Below are 24,447 nucleotides of genomic sequence, written 5' to 3' on the forward strand. Positions count from 1 at the left end.
TTCATGTCTGTGGGTCCTGCATCCCCATATCCAATCAAACACAAACCAAAAATATTTAAGAGAAAAAAGCAACTAATAAAAAACTAACGATACAACAATAAAAAAATACAAATAAAAAATACAGTATAACAACTATTTACATAGTATTTACACTGTATTAGGTATTATAAGTAACCTAGAGATGACTAAAACTATATGGAAGGATGCATATAGGTTATATGTAAATACTATGCCATTTTATATAAGGAACTTGAGCATCTAAGGATTTTTTTTATCTGCTGGGGAAGGGAGGGTTGAGGGGTGATGGGTGGGCCTGGAACAAATACCCCATGGATACCAAGGGAAGACTATAGAAAACACTAATTAAAAAGTCAGAAATATTTTTAGAAAAAGTTTACAGAGGTACCTGAATGTTTTCTGAGGACTCTTGCTAATTCTTCAATAGTTCTGACACAGTCCAATCCCTACAACAAAGAAGGCATAAAGAACTTAACCAAAACTGGAAGACAGGTTCTGAAACTGGCTATAGTTTCCATTACCTTCAGAAATAATGTAATTAATTTCAAGTCAGTCTATATCTATTTTTTTCCTTTCTAGTTGGGTATTAGAGTCAGTATTCACAGGAAATATCCTGACGGTACAAAAACCACTAAATACCCTACTTCCTAATTGTTTTTGGGTGTGCAACAAAGGCTAAAATCAGTCAGGAAGCTTATGGACCTAGGGCTTCCAAAAAAGTCTCTGAACCATGGTTGAGGACCTTCATTTCTTCCCCTCCACATAATATCACTCGGATGTACCCCATGTCCCAGAATAAATGAGAGGAGGCTTCTGTGCCCCAGCTCATTCATTCTAAGCAGACCTTCTATAGTTTAAGAGTTGATGAATTGCTGTGGAGAGTGATTAAGCTCAAATTATTTCCCTATAGGACTAGCCAGAATTATAATGCATATAACTAAAGTCATACAGCAAATATAAATAGTATTTGATAAATCATTCTTAAAAACATTTGGGCTGACTCAACATACGCCTTTTTGATGGTTATAAAAATCCCAGAACATACGTGGAATGTTACTTTAGAAATGCCCTCAAAACTAGTTTATAAGCCATGTAAAAAAATAAATAAATAAATAAACCTTGAGGATGTATGATAGGGTCATTCCATATGTTGAGCCAATCTTGCTTATATACTTTATTCAAATTCAGGCTAGATCACTTTTGACTATTTTCCCAAATCAGATACATCCTCAAAATAGAAAGACTTGAAACTAAGAAAAGGTACAAAAAGGTCTTCAGCAACAGCAGCATCATTCATTTGGATATTTAGCATTTGGACTGCTGTTAAGGATTTAAAAGAATAGGGACTCAGCACTTCCTAGACTTTATACCTTTATATAGTGTTTTATATTTTATAAATGCCTTCAGATATCCCAGGGGCTGGCAAGTTTGTTTTGCTTTGCACGCCATATGGTCTCTTACAACTACTAAACTCTGTACTTAAGAGTGAAGGCAGCCATAGACATTACATATGTGAATGGGTGTGATTCTGTCCCAATAAAACTTTATTTACAAAAACAGGCAGTGGGGGGCTGAATTGCCCAAGGGCCATCGTTTGCTAACTCCTGACCCACATGATCCATGATAATGTGTACAAAAATCAGCGGAGGCAGGAGGAACAGATATTATACTTTATCGATTATTTACCAAAGACCACATGTTTAGGTACTGATGAAACAAGTTTGTCTCAAATCCAGGCCTCTGGACTCTAAGGTTAGTACTCTTATGATTTACCACACTGCCTGTCTGGTAACAAACTTTACAGGTAACCTTATGTGAGTGTGTGATCCAAGTCAGCATAGTAGCCAAGCCAATGGGACACTGAAGAGGCTGGTTTGGCTATGTAGAATTCCCAGGCAACACTTTCCAATCCACTTTTTGCTACAGAGTGAAAGTATAACCTTTCTGCTCCTCACATTCCTCACAACCTTTCCAAGCCTCTTAATGTATTTGGCCAGAGACTGTGCCAAACAGCACACTCTATATGGTATGCCCTGATAAATTTGGAAAATACCAAGCTGTAATGCCAGTCTAGATTGGTTAAATCACACTGCCACAGCAAATGGAAGTTTTATGTGGTCACTGTACCTCAGCAGTTTCAAGTCCATTAATTGTCATACAGACGTCAAGGTCACTCTGTTTGAACCCAAATCCATTTTTGGAGGAGCCAAACAGGCTCAATTTAGTTCCTGTTAGGGATATATGAAAAGTAATAACTAATTACCTGAGTACATTTAATTTTTGATCAAAATGGCCCTCTCATGAATCAAAAACACCCAGTTGTTTAATTATCCTATATTAATCTCATACTTATGTTCTCTGATTAACTGGTCATTTATGCTAAAGTCTTTTTCTCTCAAAGCTTCCTTTACATACAAGCTGTATATGGCAAGAAAGATTACCAGGTGCTCCTTTATTCTTAAATGCAAAGACATTTCAAGGAAAATGTTAGATCACCTCAACACATTTAATAATGTAAGCTTAACTTTGACTCTAAACATAGTATTAAATGAAATTCACTTATGGCACTTGCTAGAATAAACCCTACACTGTTTCTGTTGGTAAATGAGGATTTGGCAGACCAAGGACCATCCTGGGTATATTGCAAAACAATGGAAATCCTGATTCTCAAAATCAGTGTGCTTGTAACACATGAACTGATTTGGAAAAAAGGTTACACTACTTTTCTTAAAAATAAAAAATAAATCATTTACCTGGAAAGTCCTGTCTTATGAAACTTTCTAGGTTTTGCCGAATATGTTCACGAGCCTGATCTTCTATAATTGTTGGAGAAAAATCCTCTGTTTAAAAATAAATAGACATATTGACAAAATAAGCCGGTTGACACTCTTAGAAAAAGCTGAAAAAAATTTATTTTTTAGAAAATAAAACTTACAAGCTTAAATTTAAAAATTCCTAAATCATTGTGTCTTCTCAGTAGATAGCATTAACAAGGTAAAGTTTGTTTTTTATTTATTTTTGAGATAAGGTCTGGTTCTGTCGGCCAGGCTGCAGTGCAGTAGTGTGATCTTAGCTTACTGCAACCTCTGCCTCCCAGGCTCAAGCCATCTTCCCACCTCAGCCTCCCGAGTAGCTGGGACTATAGGCATGTACCACCATGCCTGGCTAATTTTTGTAACAGTAATGTAAAATTTAAGATGTCCTTTTTTAAAGAATCTAAGAAGTGCTCTTGAAACGGAAAGTAATTTAAACATGGGATCTCCACCTGGGTTTCCTGAAAGACACCAGGGTTACAGAAAGGGCCTTCAGAAATCACCACCCCGCTAAAGTGTGAATTTAAAAGTTTGTGAGCATTTGCATGTATTTTTTTCCCTAAGGAGAACCTAGTTTTTTTAATAGCTCATAATATAAAAAAAAAAAATTTCCCAAAAAAAAAAAAAAAAGGACTTGTTAAGAACACGTGTCTTCTGACACGGATGAACACCTTATGATGAAGCCATGTGAAACAAGTTCCTTCATTTTAAGCAGCTGAACATCTATCCTTTAAATATTTTCTTTTGTAAAACTTTAAGGCTCTCTACACCAATGCTTCCCCAAATTTGTGTTCCTTAAAGGGCTGTTAAGTAGGCTATTAATTAGCGTTACTCAAAAATTATTCTATGTTCAAATTTTAGAAATAATATTTCTCAGATACCTTCAATATGCTAATATGTCCTGGAAATAACCCAGGAATTCTAAGAGAGAAGGGAGTGTGTAGTGTTATTCCCTCGCTGGCCTAGGTATACTTCTGGTGATGAAATATTATTAACTGCCATCTAGAAAAACATTTCAAAGAATGCCAGCTGGGAAATGCTACTACTCTAATTTTAAGACTTAATAAAAGATCCTCAGCAAGGCAACTTTCGGCCCCTCACAGAGACAGTACTTTGAAATTCATATTGAGATTTTACCCTCTCTTCCAACGATTTTGGGAAAATTATGAACTGAGACTCTTCAGAAAATATCTTTCTTCTGGAAAAAAATGTCGCTCCCTTACCCTCATCCTTACTTTGTATCCTGGCTTATAACAGGCCATGCATTTTTGTAGCAAACTTTTCAAAAACAATTATATAACCTGGTCCCTTCTTTCTGGGGCCTGGATCTGCTTACACAGCAGGAAGAATAACACCACCAACCTTTACATAGCCCAGCTAGCCAGGGAAGTGTGTCCAGGCTTCAAGTAACTTGAATTTTAATTTTTGGCCGGGAGCGGTGGCTCACGCCTGTAATCCCAGCACTTTGGGAGGTCAAGGCGAGCGGATCACTGGAGGTCAGGAGTTTGAGACTTGCCTGGCCAATATGGTGAAACCCCATCTCTACTAAAAAAAAAAAAAAAAATTAGCTGGACATGGTGGTGCATGACTGTAATTCCAGCTACTCAGGAGGCTGAGGCAGGAGAATTGCTTGAACCCAGGAGGTGGAGGTTGCAGTGAGCTGAGATCGCACCACTGCACTCCAGCCTGGGTGACAGAGCTAGACTTTGTCTCAAAAAAAAAAAAATTTTTTTTCTTGGCAGAGTAATGGAAAATTTAAATGGGGAAAGATATTTAATACTAAGCTTTAAAAAGAAACCTGCTGGCCAGGCGCCATGGCTCAAGCCTGTAATCCCAGCTCTTTCGGAGACTCAGTTGGATGAATCACTTGAGGTCAGGAGTTTGAGACCAGCCTGGCCAACGTGGTGAAACCCTGTATCTACAAAAAATATAAGAATGAGCTGGGTGTGGTGATGCATGCCTGTAATACCAGCTACTTGGGTGGTTGAGGCAGAAGAATTGCTTGAGTCCAGGAGTTAGAGGCTGTGGAGAGCTGATATTGCGCCACTGCATTCCAGCCTGGGGGACCGAGCAAGACCCTGTCTCACCATCACCCTCCAAAAAAGGAAACCTGCTATGATTGCTATGTATCTTGATGCAACAACTATGCTGTTAATAAAAGGAAGTACAGAAGGCACTTGATATTAAAAGAAAAATAAAAGATCCTCCATTTGCCTGAGCCCAGGAGTTCAAGACTAGCTTGGGTAACACAGGGAAACTGTGTCTCTACAAATAATGAAAAATTTAGTCAGGCATAGTGGCATGCATCTGTGCTCCCAGCTACTTGGGAGGCTGAGGTGAGAGGATTGCTTTAGTCTGGGAGGTCGAGGCTGCAGTGACTCATGATTGCTCTGCTACACTCCAGTCTGGGTGACAGAATGAGATCCTGTCTCAAAATTTAAAAAAAAATTTTTTTTTAAATAAAAAAGATCCTCCCTGCATCTCTCCTCATCCTTCTTTGACATTTATTGCATGTCCCAAACAGAACAGACATGACATGGAACGCTTGAGGATACAATGGAGAATGGAATAGACTTGGTCCCTAATAATGTTTAGAGACCTAAATAGGATAGTGATTCTAAAGACTCGAGTAAATGTCAATTTAATATTTTGACAAATCAAAAGAAATGTGAATAACTTACTATAACACTGGATACAGACTTGATCTAAGATATTTAAAAACTTGGGTGTTAATGGTGGCAGAGGTTCTAGCTGGATTCTTTTGAAGTCTTCAGGACAGTCCTTCTTTAGATGACCCTCTCGTTTGCATAAGCTGCACACTACCGTAGGAGACTGCAGGAATATGGCAAAGCAAAACAAGACTTAACACTTTATTTGCCAAATAAAGGAGTCTGGAATCATGTTTTAAAAGTACACAGTCACCTATTCACTTTCCAAAGGAAATGAAAATATAACATGCATCCACTCAAATGATCTGAGAGATGGGGACATCCTATAGTATCATTAGGAGAACATAGTGGCTATTTTCACTACTAATAGCATTCCCTTCCTCTGCTAATTCCCATGAGTCTTAAGGAGAAAAGCAGACCGAGCAGTCATATCAGAATGAAAGGCCAACTTGTTCAACACTACCAAAATAGGAAAATTCCTAGTATATAAAAATTGAAATTAAATGCATTCAAAGTCCTTAAAGTCTCCTAGTTCTATGACTAGTGGTGGTACTGATTACCTTGCCTTTGGTGAAGATAAGTTTACTGAATTCATAAAAAAAATCAGACTGATCCACAGGTGAATTTTTTTCTTCACATACATTTTCTTCCTTGAGACTTATTTTATTAAGTTCCACTAGGAGAGCTCTTTCTACATGTTTTCCACATTCTTTCACGTCTTCATACTTAGCAGCTTCGCCTAACTCATCATCCTCTTCAGATAGGGCGTCCTCATCCCCTGACCCAGTGTAGGTGTTGTCTAACTCATCTTCATTAGCCATGCCATCTTCATCTTCCCTTTGGTTAATGGTGAGCCTAGGTTCTTCTTCCTCCTCCTCTTCTTCGTCGTCCTCCTCCTCTTCATCAGAGGGAATCATTTCTGATGTCTGGCCCTGTACTGAGTGGGTAAAGTGGTTTAGAGAGTCTTCTAGTTCCTCAGTACCTTCTGTACTTTCTCCATCAAGATCAGCCTTGTTATCTAAAGTGGCAAGTCCCTCACACTCTTTAGCTGTGGGATTTTGGAAGCCTTCTAAATCCAAAGTGCTCTCTGACTCATTATTACGTGTGCTGCCACAGACAACATGCTCTCCACGTTTCTGATCAACAGTCAACAGATGCTTGCCCTTCCTTCCAACTTTCTCTTTCTCGTTTTTCCTTCCTGTTTCTGGATGGTATACTTTATCACCCTTGTAATCATCAGAGTTAACATCTGCTTGGATACAGTCTGAGTTTTCAGGGTGGACACTGATGTGTTCATTTCCCATTTCTTCTTTTGGTGGGCTTCCAAAACTTTCAGCAGTCTCTTTAAGAGTAAGTGGCTGTACCTTACAGGTATTTGCAGCTGAACTGGTAGCACCAGGACCTTGGGCCAAAACTGAGTTTTTGAGCTTATCATCTTTTGTTTGTACATCTGGATGATGATTTATTACTTCTTTAGAATGTTCTGAAATACATGTAATTGCATTCAGAGGCTTTAGAAGGCTGGATTTTGTAATTTTGTGTGGAAGAGCAAAATACTTGTATGTTGTCCTTAAACAATGAAGTATATATTCAAACACAGGTTGACTATTTAGGGTTCTTGCCACATTTCTTTTAACAGAGTAGGGATCTGTAATAAAAAAAAGAAAGAAAGAAAAATCCATCTCTTCATATGTTACTATATTTCATGTTTTAAAAATTAGCCTGCTGCAGATAAAAACAGACAACAAACAATGGTAAAATTTATCTTGCATTTTATAGACTTAAAAAAAAACTGGGGGTGGGGAGTAAGAAAACAGAGTTTAAGAACAAAAAGCAGTATTTTCTGAAACATCGGCTCTATGAAGGGAACCCATTCTGTTCAGAACCAGTACCCCTTCTCCCTATTGTGCTCTGTGACTGTGGAGGTAGAAAAGATGTTATCAGCGTGGCTCTCAGGCCCTTGGGAAGGAAGATCTTCCCACCAGGCTCTGCTGCTGCTGAGTGCTCTGCCTCCCCACTCAGCCAGGCCCTGTGGTTTATCGAGCTTACCTCCACTCTTCTGCCCTGGGAAGCCCCATCACTGAATTGGCTGGACTGAATTTCAGGGGCGAGAGGGAGGCACCAGGAGGAGACACCACTTCTCTCAATCTTTTCTCCTCCCCTAGAACTCCAGCAGGTTAGGCAATTGGCCAGAAGAGCTGAGCCACAGAAACTGCAGGGGAGGGTTTAAAAATGTGAGATCCCCATGACTGCACACAGAATTTATGCAAAATGCAAAAAACCCTCTTATGCAACATAAAGCTTGAAAAAAAAATCAAGCAAAAATAAGAGAATTCCATTTAGGAGGTTCTTTAAATTATTTAAAGGAGGAGAATTAAGATTTCTAGAGGGGTTTCAACCTCCTGACTTTGCAAAGCTGAGAAGAGCTAGTCCATTTAATGATGTCTACAGGGCACATCAGTGTGTCTTTGATAAAGTGATTTCAGTTAAATGAGGCTTCACTAAAAATGTGTTTTTATGAATAAGTTCTAAATGCTACTGTAGATATGTCAAAAATAACTACTCATTCTCTCTACTGGAGAGGAATCCAATGGAGAATGACATTTTTGACGAGAAAAAGTATTGTCCTCACCTTTGCAAAACTAAACAACTTCAACAATCCACAAAAGGACTGAATTAAAAAATCCAGAGGTGAGAATGGTAAAGAGGAAAGGGGGATTTACACATCACTGTGAAAAACATACTTTAGGCATTTAAGTGGTTAAGCAATCTACAAAGAAAGCAAGGACTCAGCCAGCCATTATTCAAGTTGTTTATACTTTAAAAACCCAGGGTGAACAGTTTGATTCCTTGAAATGACCCACTGTTAACACATGCAAGATTCTAACTATTTATTTCCCTTTGAGGGCAGGCCTACCTTACTTGTAGGAGCTGAAAAGAGACTGAAATAAAAAGCATGCTGTTAGACTGGTACCTTTAAAAAAAAGAGTGGGGGGGAATAAGATAAACATTTTGAGATACCTTCAATGGCAATGCGCTTTTTGGGCCAATCCTTCAATTCCCGAGATACCAATTCTTTGACACGAATACTTATCACTAAATCAGCCAAATTAAATTCTAAAGCATAGAACCGCAGCAATTCCACCCAGAGCTGCCCAACTGGTACTGAAGGCTGGTGTTTCACATCCAATATTAATGACACCTATTAATAGCAAAGAGAAACATACAGGTTATTTCAGATGTAAGTACAATCTGGAAAATTAAAGATCATTTAAGCATCAAATTAAAAAAATCTGGAAAACCTTAACAAAGATATAAGCCTGACAATCCATCTAGATAAATCAATTCTAACTTCTATTTTGTTTGTGGTAAAACAGCATTACTTCACTGCACTATTAGGATTAGAGTATGCTATAATCCAGTCATTATCACAGGAATAGACAGGATCAGTTTTATTTAACCAGACAGAGCTCCTAATTTTGAACTGTTAATAACAGGTGGAGAGGACTGTGCATGGGTTGCTAATATTCTCAGCACTGAACTCTTCCTGTTACTGCTGCTGGAGGCACCTTTACAGTCACAGACACACAAAAATGGACAGTAGCTAAAGGCATAGAGAAAAAGGAAAAACACTCCTCTCACTGCCCTGAGAAGCTACATAAGCACATTGACTCTGTCAGTGACAACTGATTTTAAAGTCAAATAACTCTTGCCATCAGAAATTGACACTGGTTTTACAGTTACAGACTTCTGACAAGTTGGAACATAACTGCGATGTAATATATTAGAAAGTACATATTACTTAGGATAGGGGAAAATATGGGCCCAAATAGAGATTCTGCCACGTCATAGCTCTTAATTGCTCTGTGACTTAGCTTCTTCATTCTCAGACTGGTAGCACAGCACAGTGGCTAAGAGAACAGGCTTTGGAATTGGGACAAGCTTAGATCTGAAATCCAAACTCTGCCATGTACTAGCTGTGTATGATCTGGGTCAAGGTCTATAATCTGTCTAAGTCTGGGTTTCCTCATCTGAAAAATGGGGATAACAGTACCCACCTCATAGGGTTGTTGGGAGGACTGAGTGAGATAGTGTCTGTAAAGTGCTTAGCACAGTGCCTGGCACACAGTGTTCAAAAAATGGTCGCTATCATTATCTGCAGAGTAGGGATGATACCACCTATAACACAGGATAGTGATGAGGATTAAATCAGAAACAAGGGAAAGCATCTGGCAGACTTGGTTGCTCTCTGTATTTTTTCCACGTAGGTATAGCCTTTTTAAGTACAAGAAATCCATATATCACTGAAACACAATGTCACCACTGTAAGATGCTCTTAAGAGGTAATCTAGTTCAACTCCTGTATATTACAAGAGAAGGAACTGAAGCCCCACGAGTGCCCATGGCTTGTCAGAAGGTTGCACTGCCTGGCAGTGGCCGGATGAGAACAATGTCTCAATGTCTCCTGATCTCAGTACAGTGCACACCATATGCAACCCCATAATGTCTGAAGCTCACTTTATTTCAGAAGTGGCAGCATGATTAATCTTTCCAAATAACATAAAAATGTAAAAATAAAGCATTAAATGGATTTACAGCAATAGCTTTTCCTATAATTCACACTGAAAAAAGTAATTTCCTCTAAGGTGCACAAATTTGTTTTCAATCATACTTTATTATATTAAGCTTCAAAATCAGTGGTCTATTTTTCTCAATCACAAAGGTTCTGTCAAGTAATACAAAGTCATCTGGTGGCTTTACAAGGCAGAACTGATTAAAAATGGAAGTTGTCTAAGTCCCAAACACTACAGTTTGAGGACACAAATAAACCCCCCAGAAATTTTAAGCATTATTACATTTTACCTCTTTATCCATAGCGGCATTACAAAGGATTTTTAAGCATCTCACTGAAATGACTTGATAATACCATAACATGAAACTGGAGAGACCTTTGAAATATCTAGACTACAGGAACTTAAACTGGTTTTCTTTAAAGCAGAGAACATTTTCTTTTTCAAATAAAATAAGAATAGCAGCTAACATTTACTGAGTGCTCACCACATGCTCGGCACTGAGTTAAGCATTCTGTAAGTGACCCTATGAGAGGGTACCAATATTATCCCCATGAGTAGGGAGGAAACTGGTGCACAGAAAGGCGAAGTCACTTGCCCAAGGACACACAGCTGGGAAGTGGGAGAGCTGGGATACAAATTCACATATTCTGGCTCCACAGCCTATACTCTTCTCCACTACAGAGACTCCAAATAAGAAACAGATAAAAGTGGTTCTGGTGGCAGCAGAGGTAGGGTGGTACCACCACTCTCCTCCTCCTCCCAGTGTTCAAGGATTCTAGAAAACACAACTGGAAAATCTGATTCACCACTAACTCCTCATTTTAGGCATGAGTAAAACATGAACTGGAGGAGTGACATGACTTGTTTGTATAAAGCTGGGATTCGATTCCAAGAATTTTGTGGATGTTACTGTCAATTTACCCCAAAAGGTAACGGGAAGATCAGGGGCCTTTCACCTATTTGGGAGAGAATCTTATTCTTATTACTAGGATAATGACATTGCAGAGATTTTTGTTTGAAATTCTAATGGCTATTCTTTCCTTGTGCATAAATTCCCCTGCCCACCCCCAACAGTATGGGACCGGTACATTAAATCATATATGCATTCACTGTTATTTTAGTAACTGAAAGCTAGTTAACCTTTCATACATTTAAACCTCATAATACCACCTAAGACTAAGCTCTTTGAGGATAGATATGGATTTACCTTTGAATTCTGAGTCTCTTTCAAAGGAACCAGCACAAAGAAACTACATAAATAACTGTGGATTTAGTGATCTAATATTTTTTTTAACCTTTTCTCATTACTTGTCTGTTCGAGGTACTAAACAGACTGGCAAATGAAAGAGCCACGAAATAGTAAAGATAGTTAAGGAAAGAAGACAAGACTGACTAATCCACAACTTCACAATTGGCAAGTGAAACTGACAACTAGAAACAAAAGAGAACAGACCTGTCCCCTTTTAATCGGCGTTTCTCTTGGTGCCTCTTCTTTTGTTATGCCTGTGTCCCCTGCAGCACTGTCAGTATGTTCCCAGATCACAACATCTTTTTCAATGTCTTGAAGGTTGAAATTCCCTAGTTTGCTTAATGAGAATCCTTCAATCTAGGAAAAATTAGACACATGCTAAAATAAGATAGAAATAATCTTATATCAAACACAGTCTACTAATCTTGGAATAAAAAAATACTCATAGTTCAACGAAAATACAAAAGATATAATTTATGGACTATCACAGAGACATCTATACATTTAAAAATATTTTTAAAAGTAAAAAACAAGGTTTTGATTTGCAAAAGAAATGGTGACTTTGTGAAATAATTCCTCAGTAAATATTCTAAGAGTAGGCAAAATGGCCTAGTGGCTGACGTCATGGGTTCTGAAGTAAAACTGCCTGGTCCCAAATCTCAGCTCCTTCATATACTAGCTGTATAACCTTGAGTAAGGTACTTACTCTCTGTAGGCCTCAGGTTCCTTTAAAAAGGGGTAACACTAGGACTTCCTTCATGGGATGGTTATGATATAAAAAAAATGACCATAAGGCACTCAGATAGAGGTAGTATCTGCTTGTAGCATACAGCACATAGTAACTGCTTAATAAATACAAGACAACTATATTGCTAGAAAATGAAAATTACAAGAACTAGATCCAGCTAATTAGAAAATAATTTTAAATACTATTAATTCTGGGTATGCTGGACATTTTCAAAGTAAATTTTATGTGCTATTAATGAATATTAATGCAAAAGAAAATGGTCTAGTTGAAAAGGCTTGTGAAATGTCAAACGGAGCTGAACAGGTTTCTTCATCGTATGATAGGATTTATCACAGCCTTTAAAACAGGTTAATGAACAGGCCACGCATGGTGGCTCATGCCTGTAATCCCAGCACTTTGGGAGGCTGAGGTGGGCGGATCACCTAAGGTCAGGAGTTCGAGACCAGCCTGACCAACATGGAGAAATCCCGTCTCTACTAAAAATACAAAATTAGCCAGGCATGGTGGCGCATGCCTGTAATTCCAGCTACTCAGGAGGCTGAGGCAGAAGAATTGTTTGACCCTGGGAGGCAGAGGTTGCAGTGAGCCGAGATGGTGCCATTGCACTCCAGCCTGGGCAACAAGAGCGAAACTCCATCTCAAAAAAAAAAAAACAAAACAAAAAACAAACAAAAACAGGTTAATGAACAAAATAATATGGGATGGAGTATGGATGTGACATCACATTTCCCAAATGTATTTTTATACCAAATGGGCTACTTCATTGGTTTAGAAGAGAGTGATCCTTCTAAAACAGAAGACACACTCTCCTGTTCATAGTGGTTTCTGTCTCACTCTAGATGAAGTGCAGTCCTTTCCAGGGCCTGAGTAACCTGGCTCTTTTCTACTTCTCTGATCCTTCTATCTTCTTGGCTCAGAGATGACACCTGGTATTCCCTCTGCTTAAAATGCTCTTCCCCCTAACAAAGTGAGGGAGACTATGACTCATTCTCCCTCACTTTATTCAGCTCTGCTCAAATGTTTTCTCTAAGGAGCTCCACATTTATCATTCTCTGTCCTCCTTACCCTGGTTTATTTTTCCTCAGAGAAAGTACCACCACTGCATATATATTTATTAGTCTCTTGCCCCAATTGGATGTATAAATTCGAGGGCAAGAATTGTGTTTTGTTCACTTCTTTTTTTTTCTTTTCTGAGGCAGAGTCTCACCCTGTTGCCCAGGCTGGAGTGCAGTGGCATGATCTCGGCTCACTGCAACCTCTACCTCCTGGGTTGAAGCGATTCTCCTGCCCCAGCCTCCCAAGTAGCTGGGATTACAGGCGCCTGCCACCATGCCCAGCTAATTTTTTTATATTTTTTTAGTAGAGATGGAGTTTCACCACGTTGGCCAGGCTGCTTCAACTCCTGACCTCAGGTGATCCACCCACCTTGGCCTCCCAAAGTGCTGTGATTACAGGCGTGAGCCACCATGCCCGGCCCTGTTCACCACTTCTAACAGTAACACCCAGAATTAGTTGGTGCCTGGCCATGGTAACTGCTCAGTAAAGATTTGTTGACAGACTGAACTAGTCTTCCACAGAAAACACTTTGGAAAATATTAGGCGTAGTGACTATTTCTTGGTTGGATGTATGTATTCAATATTTTTCTCAACTGGGTAGCTTGAGTTTTTGTTTATTTAGTGATATTTTCTGAAGAGCTGCAGTTTTAGAATTAGATAAAGTTTGATTTCTTAATGTTTTTCTTTATTGATTTTAGTATGTTAAGAAATCCTTTCTGCAAAGGTTTTTCCCTAGGTTGTCTTCTAGGAGTTTCAGAGTTTTTAACTTTTACATTTAGGTCTTTCACCCATTTTGGTTTCCAGCTTTTTGAGGTGGACCTTTAGGTCACTGATTTTAGACCTTTCTTTTTGAATTTAAGCATTTAAATCTAAAACTTGCCCTATGAACACTATTTTAGCTGCATCTGACAAATTTTATATATCTTGTATTTTTTTCTTTCTTTTTTTTTTTTGAGATGGGGTCTTGCTCTGTTTTCTAGACTGGAGTGCAGTGGTGTGATCATAGCTCACTGCAGCCTCGACCTCAACCTCCTGGGCTTAAGCAATCCTCTCACCTCAGCCTCCTGAGTAGCTGGGACTAGGGTGTGTGCCACTATGCCAAACTATCTTACATTTTTATTATTATTTAGTTCAAAATATGTTTTAATGTCCCACTTGAATTCCTCTTTAATCCATGGAATCCTTTCAAATGTACTATGACTTATTTTAAGAACCAGCATAGGCCCTCCTCTGGGAGGCTGACACAGGATTGCTTGAGCCCAGGAGTTTGAGACCAGCCTGGGCAACATAGTGGAACCTTGTCTCTTAAATTAAAAAAACAAAAGAACCAGCATGTAGTATATCTTGATGAATGTACCATATGGACTTGTAAAAAATATGTATTCTCCAGTTATTGGGTATAGTGTTTTATAAATATTAATTAGGTCAAGGCGGTTGATATGATGTATCAGTTTATACTATCTATACTGATTTTTTGTTTAGCTAACACAGGTGTCAATTGATGAAGGCTGTTAAAATCTCCTTGTCTGATGGTAGAATATATTCCATCAATTTTTATTTCATGTATTTTGGTGCCCTCTTAATAGTTGCAAACATTTACGATTGTTTTGTCTTCCCAATGAATTGACCCTACCCTAATAAAATGTCCCTTTTGTCTTTGGCATATTTTTTCCACTTGAAATCAATCTCATCTGATATTAACATAGCCTCTCTCGTTTGGTTACAATTTACATCTTTTGCCATCCATTTACTTTTAACCTATATGTCTTTATATTTAATTTATTTCTTCTAGAATATAGTCTTGCTTTTAAAATTCATTCTGAAGGGGATCTAGTTAAACTGAAGAATTTTTGCATAGCCCTATCAACAGAGTAAACAGACAACCTACAGAATGGGAGGCAATTTTTGCAAACTATATATCAAAGGTCTAATATCCAGCATCTATAAAGAACTTAACAAATTTACAAGGAAAAAATAACCCCATTAAAAAGTTTGGGTAAAGGGCATGATCAGATGCTTTTCTGAAGAAGACATACATGCAGCCAATGAGCATATGAAAAAAGCTCAACATCACCAATCATTAGAGAAATACAAATCAAAACCACAATGAGATACCATCTTACACCAGTCAGAATACTATTAAAAAGTCAAAAATACCAGATGCTGGCAAGGTTGCAGTGAAAAGGGAACACTTTCCTCAAAGAGCTAAAAGCAGAACTACCATTCAACCCAGCAATCCCATTACTGAGTATATACCCAGAGAAATACAGATCATTCTACCATAAAGACACAGGCATGCGAATGTTGACTGCAGCACTATTCACAATAGCAAAGACGTGGAATCAACCTAAACGCCTATCAGTGACACACTGGATAAAGAAAATATGGTACATATACACCGTGGAATACTATGCAGCCATAAAAAAACCCAAGATCATGTCTTTTGCAGGAACATGGATGAAGCTGGAGGCCATTATCCTTAGCAAACTAACGTAGGAACAGAAAATCAAATACCAAATACCACAAGTTCTCACTTATAGGTGGGAGCTAAATAATGAGAACTCATGGACACAAAGAAGGGAACAATGGACACTGGGGCCTACTTGAAGGTTAAGGGTAGAAGGAGGGAGAGGAGCAAGAAAAAATAACTATTGGGTACTACGCTTAGTACCTGGGTGATAAAATAATCTGTCCAATAAACCCGTGACATGAGTTTACCTATATAATAAGCCTGCACATGTACCTTTGAACCTGAAAGTTAAAAATAAATAAATAAATTCTGGTAATCTATGCTTTTTAGTGGGGATATTTAGTCTGTCAATATTTAAGTTGATTACTGATATCATTGGTTTTAGGTCTAACATTTGAGTGTTTTCTGTTTGTCCACTCAGACAAAATTTCCATTTGGTTCTTTTGATATTTCCTACTTCTCTAGCTGACATTTCCTATCTCTTCATTTATTCCACATGTATTATTTCCTCTGTCATGAAGCACAGCTATAATAACTGCTTTAATGTCTTTGACAGTTGCATCTGGGTCATCTTGGAGTTTGCCTTTGTTCATTTTCTTTTCCTTTGAGAGTAGGTCTCACTTTCTTGACTCTTTCTGAGTAATTCTGGATTGCATTTTAGACATTGTAAATATTATATTATTAAAATTTTAATCATTTATTTTACTCCAAAAAGTGATGTTTTTGTTTTAGCAGCAGGTAATTAACTTGTTTAGGCAAACTGGAAATTATCACACCTCCAGTAGATTGTGGCTCAGCTCTTGCATCAGTTCTTTAAGCCTTGGCCCCCAACTATATTCAATCTGCCCCACACAGGCCTGGTTTAGGAGTCTGGCATTAATTTTGAAAAATTCTCAGTCATTAGTCCTTCTACTATTTCTTCTGTTCTTTTTTCTTTCTCCTCTTGGTATTCCCATTATACATATGTTTCAACCTTGACTAACTGACCCAGTTCTTAGGTATTTTGTTCCTTTTTCCTCTTTACTTTTCAGTTTGAGAATTTTCTGTTGCTATCACTTCATACTCAGATTTTTCCTGGCTATGTCTAGTCTACTAATGAGCCCAAAGGCATTGTTCATTTCTGTTATAATTTTTTGGATTTCTAGCATTTCCTTTTAAATCTTTTGAGAGTTTCTGCTTCTCAGCTTATATTACCCATTTATTCTTGCATGTTGTCCATTTTTTCCATTACAGCTTTTAGCATATTAATCATTATTATTTTAAATTCCTGGTCTGACAATTTCAACATTTGTCATATCCAACTTAAGTTCTGACACATGCTCTGTCTCTTCAAGCTGTGCTTTTTGCCTTTCAGCATGCTTTGTAATTTTTTGTTGAAAGCTAGACACGATGTACTGGGTAAACAGGCTTTTAGGGTGAGGTTTTATGTTTATCTGGCTAGGAGTTAGGATGTTTATTGTTTTCTGCAGCTGTCGTAGCTGAAAATTCCTCTGGTGTCCTTGTTTTTGTCTCCCTTGTTGCCTCTGTGTTTCCCTAAAGACTTCTTAAAAAAGGTCTGAGACTTGTAGTTCAGACCTTGTGATCCCTGGAGAGGGGAAACACTGTATAGTCCTAAGATTAGGTCTCAGTCTTTTAGTGAGCTTGTGCCCCTAGACAGTGACCTTCATAACTATTTCCCAGTTCTCCTACTACCACCCTTACTTAGATGAGAAAGGAAGGCTGGAGCAGTGGAGCTAGGTACCTCCCTTCCCGTGGCAAGTAAAACCCAAGGTGGTTAGGCTTCAGTAAGAGTACCTCCGAAGGGCAGGCTTTCAATAATTAAAGAATGCTCTGGGCATTATTTCTAAATGGCAACTTTTCCTCTCATCCTGCCAGAAGCACTGGGAGATTTTTCTCAGGTCTTTACCCTCAGAGCTTAGTGGGATTCCTGGAGGTATAACTCACACAAAAGTCTGAGGAAGCCCTCCTAAGAATGGGAGAAATTTTTAACCCTCAAGCTTGTCCAAACTGAGCCTTCGGAAATTTGTCAACTACACTTTAAATTTTTCTACCCTAGTATTGGCTTCAGTGGCAGGATTCCGCTCCTGGCCTTCTGCTCTGGTAAGCTGTGCTTCACTGTATTACCCTGCTCTCTAATTCTGGGGGCAGTGGTTTGCCCATGACATCAATTGTCTGATGGATCCAAAAAGAATTGTTGATTTTCCGTTTGTTCAGTTTTTTTTCTTGTGAGGATGAGAGTGACGACTTCTGGGCTCCTTTCATGCCAAACTAAACTGGTTCAGGAGTTGGGCAGAGACATCCTGAGTTTTTATACCCAGGGTTCTTTTTAAGGGTTTTAAGGGTTCCACTTATCTGTTATCTTTCCTTTCAGTTCCTCCTCTTGTACACCTTATCTTCTGGTGGCCCTGGTTCCTCTGGCCAGGAAGAGGACTGATTTTTGTCTTAAATCAGAGTTGCCTTTAGGGGTAGAGCTACAGAAAAACAGGAGACTCACTCTGTGTTGGTCATTTGCTCCAAGTTTTGACTCCCCTCTAAAGACTGTTTGCATTTGTTCAGTCTGCAGGTTTTTGATGCTGTTGTTTCTGTATGTTGCCCAGAGTTTATAGTTGTTATTTGCAGAAGGATCACTTGATTAGGAGTTCACACTTCCACACCATAAGTGGAACTTGACTTTCTACTGAAGGAGAAAAGGACTATAACATTTGTTCTCCTTCCTTGTTTCAGGAATTTTACATTCATTATCTCATTCAAGGTTCAGAATGACATTGAGGCTCAGAGATTAAATAACTTGCTCAAGGTCACAAGGATGTGAGTGGCAAAACAGAGATGAGTCCCAGTGCTGGTAAACTTGAAAATCACCCTTTTTTCTACTATATTACCTGGCATCTCTAAAGTATGAATATCTGCTAAGGACTAGGTTTTTATAATATAAAATTATTCTTCATTCACAACTCACTATGATTAACTTCAATCATATCAAGATTTAATGACAATAAAATGGGAATTATGATTGGGAATAAAGGTTGGAGAGGGTTGGAGTCTCCAACATGGAAGAGATCTGGGTAGGTCGGGACAGAATGACTAAAAGATTTGTGAAAAGACAGATCAGAGAACACAGGCACAATACACTAAACTTCCTGACAGGGAATTTGGTCTTGTCCATCTTTGTATTTCAGGCACTACTACAATGACTAGTATACACAGTGCTTTAAATATTTTGAAGGAATTAACAGTTAGATACTCTCATGTACATAATTATGAGGACCTCATTGGATTTTCTGCAGAAATAATGTATGTAAAATATCTAGCATAAAGATACTTAGTAAGTATTAGTTCCATTCTCTTCACTTCCTAACTAGTTTAAAATGCTGAACACCGCAGGATCATTTTGGTTCGGGTGGTAGTGTGCCTTAATGGATCCAATGATTTCAATCCAGTGTTTGATCACTGCATACCTGCTTTTGTCATTAAATTTTGAACAAACATGATCCAATCAAAATCAAATTCAGTATCACTTTAGAGAGTTTCCGGTATCACTAACAAGGAAATAATATGCTGGCCATAGGAAAGGGTATCCATACTACCCTGAAGTATCCTTAGGAGAATCTCATCACCAGAAGAGATTTTTCTTTTTCCTGCATTCTCATGTTAATGACAGATGACTACTTAGAGAAGATCAAGACACATGAAAAAGCAGATCTCATTCAGTAAGATGGTAGTGAGCAAGGCAACTTATCCAACTTGTGCCAGGGTTTTTTTAGGTGCAGGAGTCCACCTGATTTAATCCTATCCTAAATTCCTATCTCTCTTAGATCAAGGTGAAAGGAAAACTTCAAAGACTTTCACACATTCCTACTTGGGTGTGCTGGAAAGAGTTATTTATCAACTAAGGGTTGACTTTGTTCTCTTGCTCTTTTTTCTACCAGGACAGTAGTCTGGTAGAGATACCCTCTCATGGCTCTGAATTCTCTCAGTACCACAGGCACGAAGAGAACTACCTTTAGGTTACTAGGATACACAGCATGCAATAATCCCTTATGCCAGGATAGTTTTCTAAGTGAGTTATTCTACTTCAGTCTTTATTCCCACGGCCTGGTAGACAGAAGTCCCTGCTTAATCTCACCTTATTCAGTATAAGGAAAAAATTCTCTTTAAATGTATTTTTTGATGTGTACTCATTGTTAAGAACTCCTTAAATGATGAGAGAAACTTGTGTGCATTAAGAAAAGTAGTTACAATAGCCAATGTGTCAAAGTAAGCTTTTCACTAAGGGGTCTTTCTATAAAATGGGAGTTTTTCTACACATAAAAGTGTATCAAGGTAATACCAAGGGATTACAAACAAGGTTTCTAAGAGGATGAGCTAATATCATGTTGACTCTTTCAGATGGTCTCTTCTTAAATCTTACTTGAACAAATCAACTCAACATTAATTTATCCAGAAAGAAAGAGTGATCACATGAATTCTAATTCATCTTTAAAATAATGTCAAAATATTATTCAAGAGATGACTACTAGGTTCTGCATCTTGTGGTACAGGTAGCAATTTCAATGTTTATATATTTTTTTGTTTTACAGGTTATGGGGAGAAATAGATTAGAAACAGAAAGTAAGTTACAGTGAACCAAATGCTTCCCACAGTCTGTCTGTCTGGAGGTGATATGTAAATTCAAGTATCAATTTAGAAAACTGTACCCAAAGAAAGAATGTACCAAATGGTAAATTTACAGGGTCAGTCTCTTGTTCGTCTCAGGACCATACATATTTCAAAAATTAAGAGATTTTGCAGTCTAGAAAGGTAATAATATCCCTAAGCAGGTTATAGGGCAACATACTGAAATCAAACACATTAGTATTTCAGCAGTGAAAGGTATGAATATTCACATGAGTAGAATAAATAAATCCATGTCAGTTCTGGTTAGGTGTCTAGATTTTGAAATTATGCAAAATTTAATTGTGGACCTGTAATAAAATCTGTTCAGATATATAAGCAAAAAAAATGTTTTATACCCATGATCCTAGATATACAGGCAAAAGGGGTTCTTTCCTCTGCTGAAGAAAGAAAATGGCCATCAGGGCAAACACATAAGGTGGCAGACCTCCTTCTTCAGGGCGATCTATACTGCAAAGCTACAAACAAGAGAAAAGAAAGTTAAGCATTCTTTTTGTATGAATTTGTCATTTACACGATTTGGCCTAAAACCTGTAACCTCATTCTTGTTTACTACATGATTTACGGTAATTCTTCAGCTGAAAATAGCAGTTACAAAATATACAACTTCCTTATACTTTTGCAGCAACCACATATTGTGGTTTTAAGTGATAGTTTCAATTTTGAATATTTAATCCTGTTAACCATACTCACTTGTGGATGGCCCTAAAATATTATTTCCTATTTTATTTTTTGATATCCATGGTCAATTCATTCATTTGTTTAGAATACATGTTAATGAATTAAAAACGATTGTTCAGTTACACATTAAGCCAGTTCAATGGTCCTCTTACCCTAACCCATAGCGTCTTGCATATGCATGCTTTGGTCACAAAGATTGGCGTGGGGAGAGAACGTGGACAAACTCATCACCACTAATGGAAATAACAACTAAAAGGGCATGTTCTACTTAGTGATGAAGCAGGCGGTGGTTTTCAAAGGATAGCATATTATAATTATAATTTAGCCAGTGAAGAGTGGGAAATCCGTTGTTCATTCAGGATCCAAGAAACGGGAAGTATCTATTGTTATTGATATACCTGAATCAGTAAAGCTTTTGATTTTCTCTAAAAGCACATACATGGAATCTCTTTTTTTTTTTTTTTTTTTGAGACAGAGTCTTGCTCTGTCACCCAGGGTGGAGTGCAGTGGCACGATCTTGGCTTACTGCAACCTGTACCTCCCAGGTTCAAGCGACAGAATCTCAATTTTATAATCATGACTCAACCTCACATTTTGGGGGAACGTTAAATCTTCTACTGTTTGAGTATTTTAATTGAAATATATTTAAAACATTATGGAAATGTAAACAAGATCAGAGAGTATCTTCTATTTTTTGCCGTCTCTGTGTATGTTATTGGACATGATATGAGAAGCTTTATCTCAACGTTCCTGTGCCTAACAACCACTGTGGTAAACTAGTTAAAATGTAAATTCCTGGGCCTTATCCTCTGAGATTTAACTCACAAATCTGATTTTTAATAAGCCCTATAAATCATTTTGATCTTTTGAGCAATACCGTTAAAGTGAAACAGAAACACTGAATCTTCCGTCTGTACGTTTCTGTTGCAAAATTCAGATGTCTTTCTCTTTTGATGTCTATAAATTTGCATTTAAACACTGAAGATTAAATTAAGTAAAAATCAAAGCATACTGCTTATACATATGTAGAATGTATTCATGCATAAAGACCTCAAGCCTACCTTTGCCCAGTACCTAAATGCAATCACCAAAGGAACCAGCTTTGGTTCTAGTTTTCCAAGGGCAGTTAAATGCTTTGTTGTCAGACAAGCATTTTCATTTCCTGCGCTCACTTTACACAGAAGACCACTGGTGAGAGGTGGGGGAGGAGGATGGGAAAGAAAAAAAGAAAAAAGTGTTACACAGGTCTCAAAGTGTCTTTTATGCCAACAACTAATATACATGCATAATAAATACTTCAAAAATAAAAAGCTTAAAAGTGAAAAAAACTACATCTTTATGAGTAATTTAATAAATTTTCTTTACAAAAAAGATATCGTGGCTATTTTCTGAGTAAACTTTATTTTTCGGATTAATAATTTTGTTTTCAAATATTATTTTTTGGGGGGAAATGCAAATAAGGAAAATATTATCAAATGTTTCGGGCCAGGCATGGTGGCTCACGCCTGTAATCCCAGCACTTTGGGAGGCCAAGGCGGGCAGATCATGAGGTCAGGAGATCGAGACCATCCTGGGTGAAACCCTGACTCTACTAAAAATATAAAAAATTAGCCAGGCGTGGTGGTGGGCACCTGTACTCCCAACTACTCGGAAGTCTGAGGCAGGAGAATGGTGTGAACCCAGGAGGCGGAGGTTGCAATGAGCCAAGATTGCGCCACTGCACTCCAGCCTGGGCAACAGAGCGAGACTCCGTCTCAAAAAAAAAAGTTTCAAATGGGAGCATGATTCATCTCTGTAACAATAAAAGAGTGTTTTCCCAAGAGTTGGAGGAATGTACCTAATGAAGAATCATTACAGCCTATAAACCACCCATTTACAGTAGTGACAGTAATGCTTTCACACAGAGGCAGAGAGAGATAAACCAGAGAGGTCACACTGTTACTCAGCACTGCCATAAATGCTGCCAAAAAGGGTGGCAAAATACAGGTGATTACAGCAAGTAACTATTTAATAAGGCTGTTTTTTAACGAGTTGAAATGGACCGAAATACTTCCTTGCTATATTTTTTCTTTTAAGTCATTTTATTATTTTTAAAATGAGATTTTCCCCTTTTACATCAAATGCCAAAAGTATAGGGAGAATGTTAGTAGGAACCATGTGTGATAACCAAATAAAAAGCTTATAATTCTAGAAATTGGACATTAAGATGTAGTAAAGTACTTGTGCTTTTGGCAAGTTGAGAGTTAGTAAATAAACAGTTTAAAGAAATGAGACCTTTGCTTTTCTCTGCACACCACCACTGGCACCCTAGCATGGAAGTCTGCATCAACATCAATAAAGGAGTCTGAGGAAAGAAGAAGAAAAATATTAAGTTGGTTAATTAAAGCTTTGTTTAAAAGCAGAACCAGATAAAGTACAAGTACCAGTTGTCCCTTAGCTGTTGAGTCTTTTGAAAGACCACTACTAAATAATGCTCTGCAATGACTTGAAAAGGAAAAAATATTACATTCAAAAACCAAGTTATCACATTAGTGTAAAACCCTTAGTTTGTAAAGTGAATGTTTCATTATAAGTGACTACATCATTGGATCAGAAAATTCAAATGTTATATGGATAACAATTAGAAATATAGGTAATACATTTAAAAACAAAGTTGCTGTAAAAGCTACTAAAATATTCAGTGTCAAAATATGTATTGATCGAAGACAAAATTTAACCAAAACAAGGAGGATGGGGATGACTAATTCAAGAGATGACACAGTTTCATAAGGACTATGTAAAACACAAAGAGCCATAAAGCCCCAAGCTGGACATTGTATTAGACAACTGATAAACCTAAATGGGCACCACTCTGTGGATTCATTAATTAGGGTTGGGTTACACCTATTCACTGTTGGTAAAATACTGATTTTAACCATTGATAAAAGCAGATTATCCTTCAGTTTTACCCTCAAGAGTACATTTTACATATTTTGCATTTCTTAGTCACATCTAGGACTCATTTAATCTTTATAAATAGTGATGATGTCATCAAGCTAAAAGCTTTACTTATGAAATGGTTATTCTGCATAGTAGAACTACTAACAGGACTCTAGTTAATAATTCATGGGCATTTGCTTTGGATATTACCCACATAAATAATTTTAAAAGCATGCCTTGCTATTTTCAAAGTTTGAGAAATAAGATAGATCCAAATTATAGACAACATAAAAATTTTTTAAATGTGGAATTTGGCCTTACCACTGTTCTTTAAACATTCTTGAACAAGTAAGAGGACATCTGGCTGAGACATCTAGGAAATAAATCAATGAATACATGAAATTATTCCTAAGTGATTTTGCTTCACTGATATAAGAGTCATCCGAAGTTCCCCAAATTCCTTTCTAAATGAGAAATGCACATTGCTATCAAAGTAAAGAAATTACTCACTATGTTGTTTGCATATGTCAGTCAAAGACAGACAGATCAACACCAAATGAAGACAAATGTGGGCAAGAG

The 24,447-nt window shown here is 37.7% G+C and overlaps 1 protein-coding gene across 19 annotated transcripts in view, besides 1 other annotated feature; it reads right to left on the bottom strand.

Moving 5' to 3' along the window:
* TUT7 (terminal uridylyl transferase 7) overlaps window positions 1-24,447 on the bottom strand; it is a 66,678-nt gene that overhangs the window by 29,080 nt on the left and 13,151 nt on the right. For 16 of the 19 annotated variants that reach the window (NM_001185059.2, NM_024617.4, XM_005252207.4 and 13 more), the window contains exons 7-17: window positions 24,190-24,241; window positions 23,224-23,293; window positions 22,011-22,137; window positions 20,607-20,726; window positions 11,528-11,680; window positions 8,522-8,702; window positions 6,061-7,148; window positions 5,513-5,663; window positions 2,772-2,858; window positions 2,146-2,246; window positions 407-464 (exon numbers count right to left, since the gene is read on the bottom strand). In NM_001185059.2, the coding sequence (NP_001171988.1) occupies window positions 407-464; window positions 2,146-2,246; window positions 2,772-2,858; window positions 5,513-5,663; window positions 6,061-7,148; window positions 8,522-8,702; window positions 11,528-11,680; window positions 20,607-20,726; window positions 22,011-22,137; window positions 23,224-23,293; window positions 24,190-24,241 (2,188 nt within the window). Of the gene's footprint in view, window positions 1-406; window positions 465-2,145; window positions 2,247-2,771; window positions 2,859-5,512; window positions 5,664-6,060; window positions 7,149-7,549; window positions 7,713-8,521; window positions 8,703-11,527; window positions 11,681-20,606; window positions 20,727-22,010; window positions 22,138-23,223; window positions 23,294-24,189; window positions 24,242-24,447 lie in introns of all 19 variants that reach the window. The other 3 variants (NM_001330718.2, XM_047423870.1, NM_001185074.2) reach the window with 3 other exon arrangements.
* Window positions 11,139-11,846: an enhancer, noted in NCBI's record as "OCT4-NANOG hESC enhancer chr9:88942866-88943573 (GRCh37/hg19 assembly coordinates)". NCBI's record gives its function as "activates a minimal SCP1, AML or CMV promoter by ChIP-STARR-seq in naive H9 embryonic stem cells {active_cell/tissue: H9 hESC(naive)}" and the evidence as "EXISTENCE:reporter gene assay evidence [ECO:0000049][PMID:30033119]".

Source organism: Homo sapiens, chromosome 9 (genome assembly GCF_000001405.40).
Source record: "Homo sapiens chromosome 9, GRCh38.p14 Primary Assembly".
NCBI lineage: Eukaryota > Metazoa > Chordata > Mammalia > Primates > Hominidae > Homo > Homo sapiens.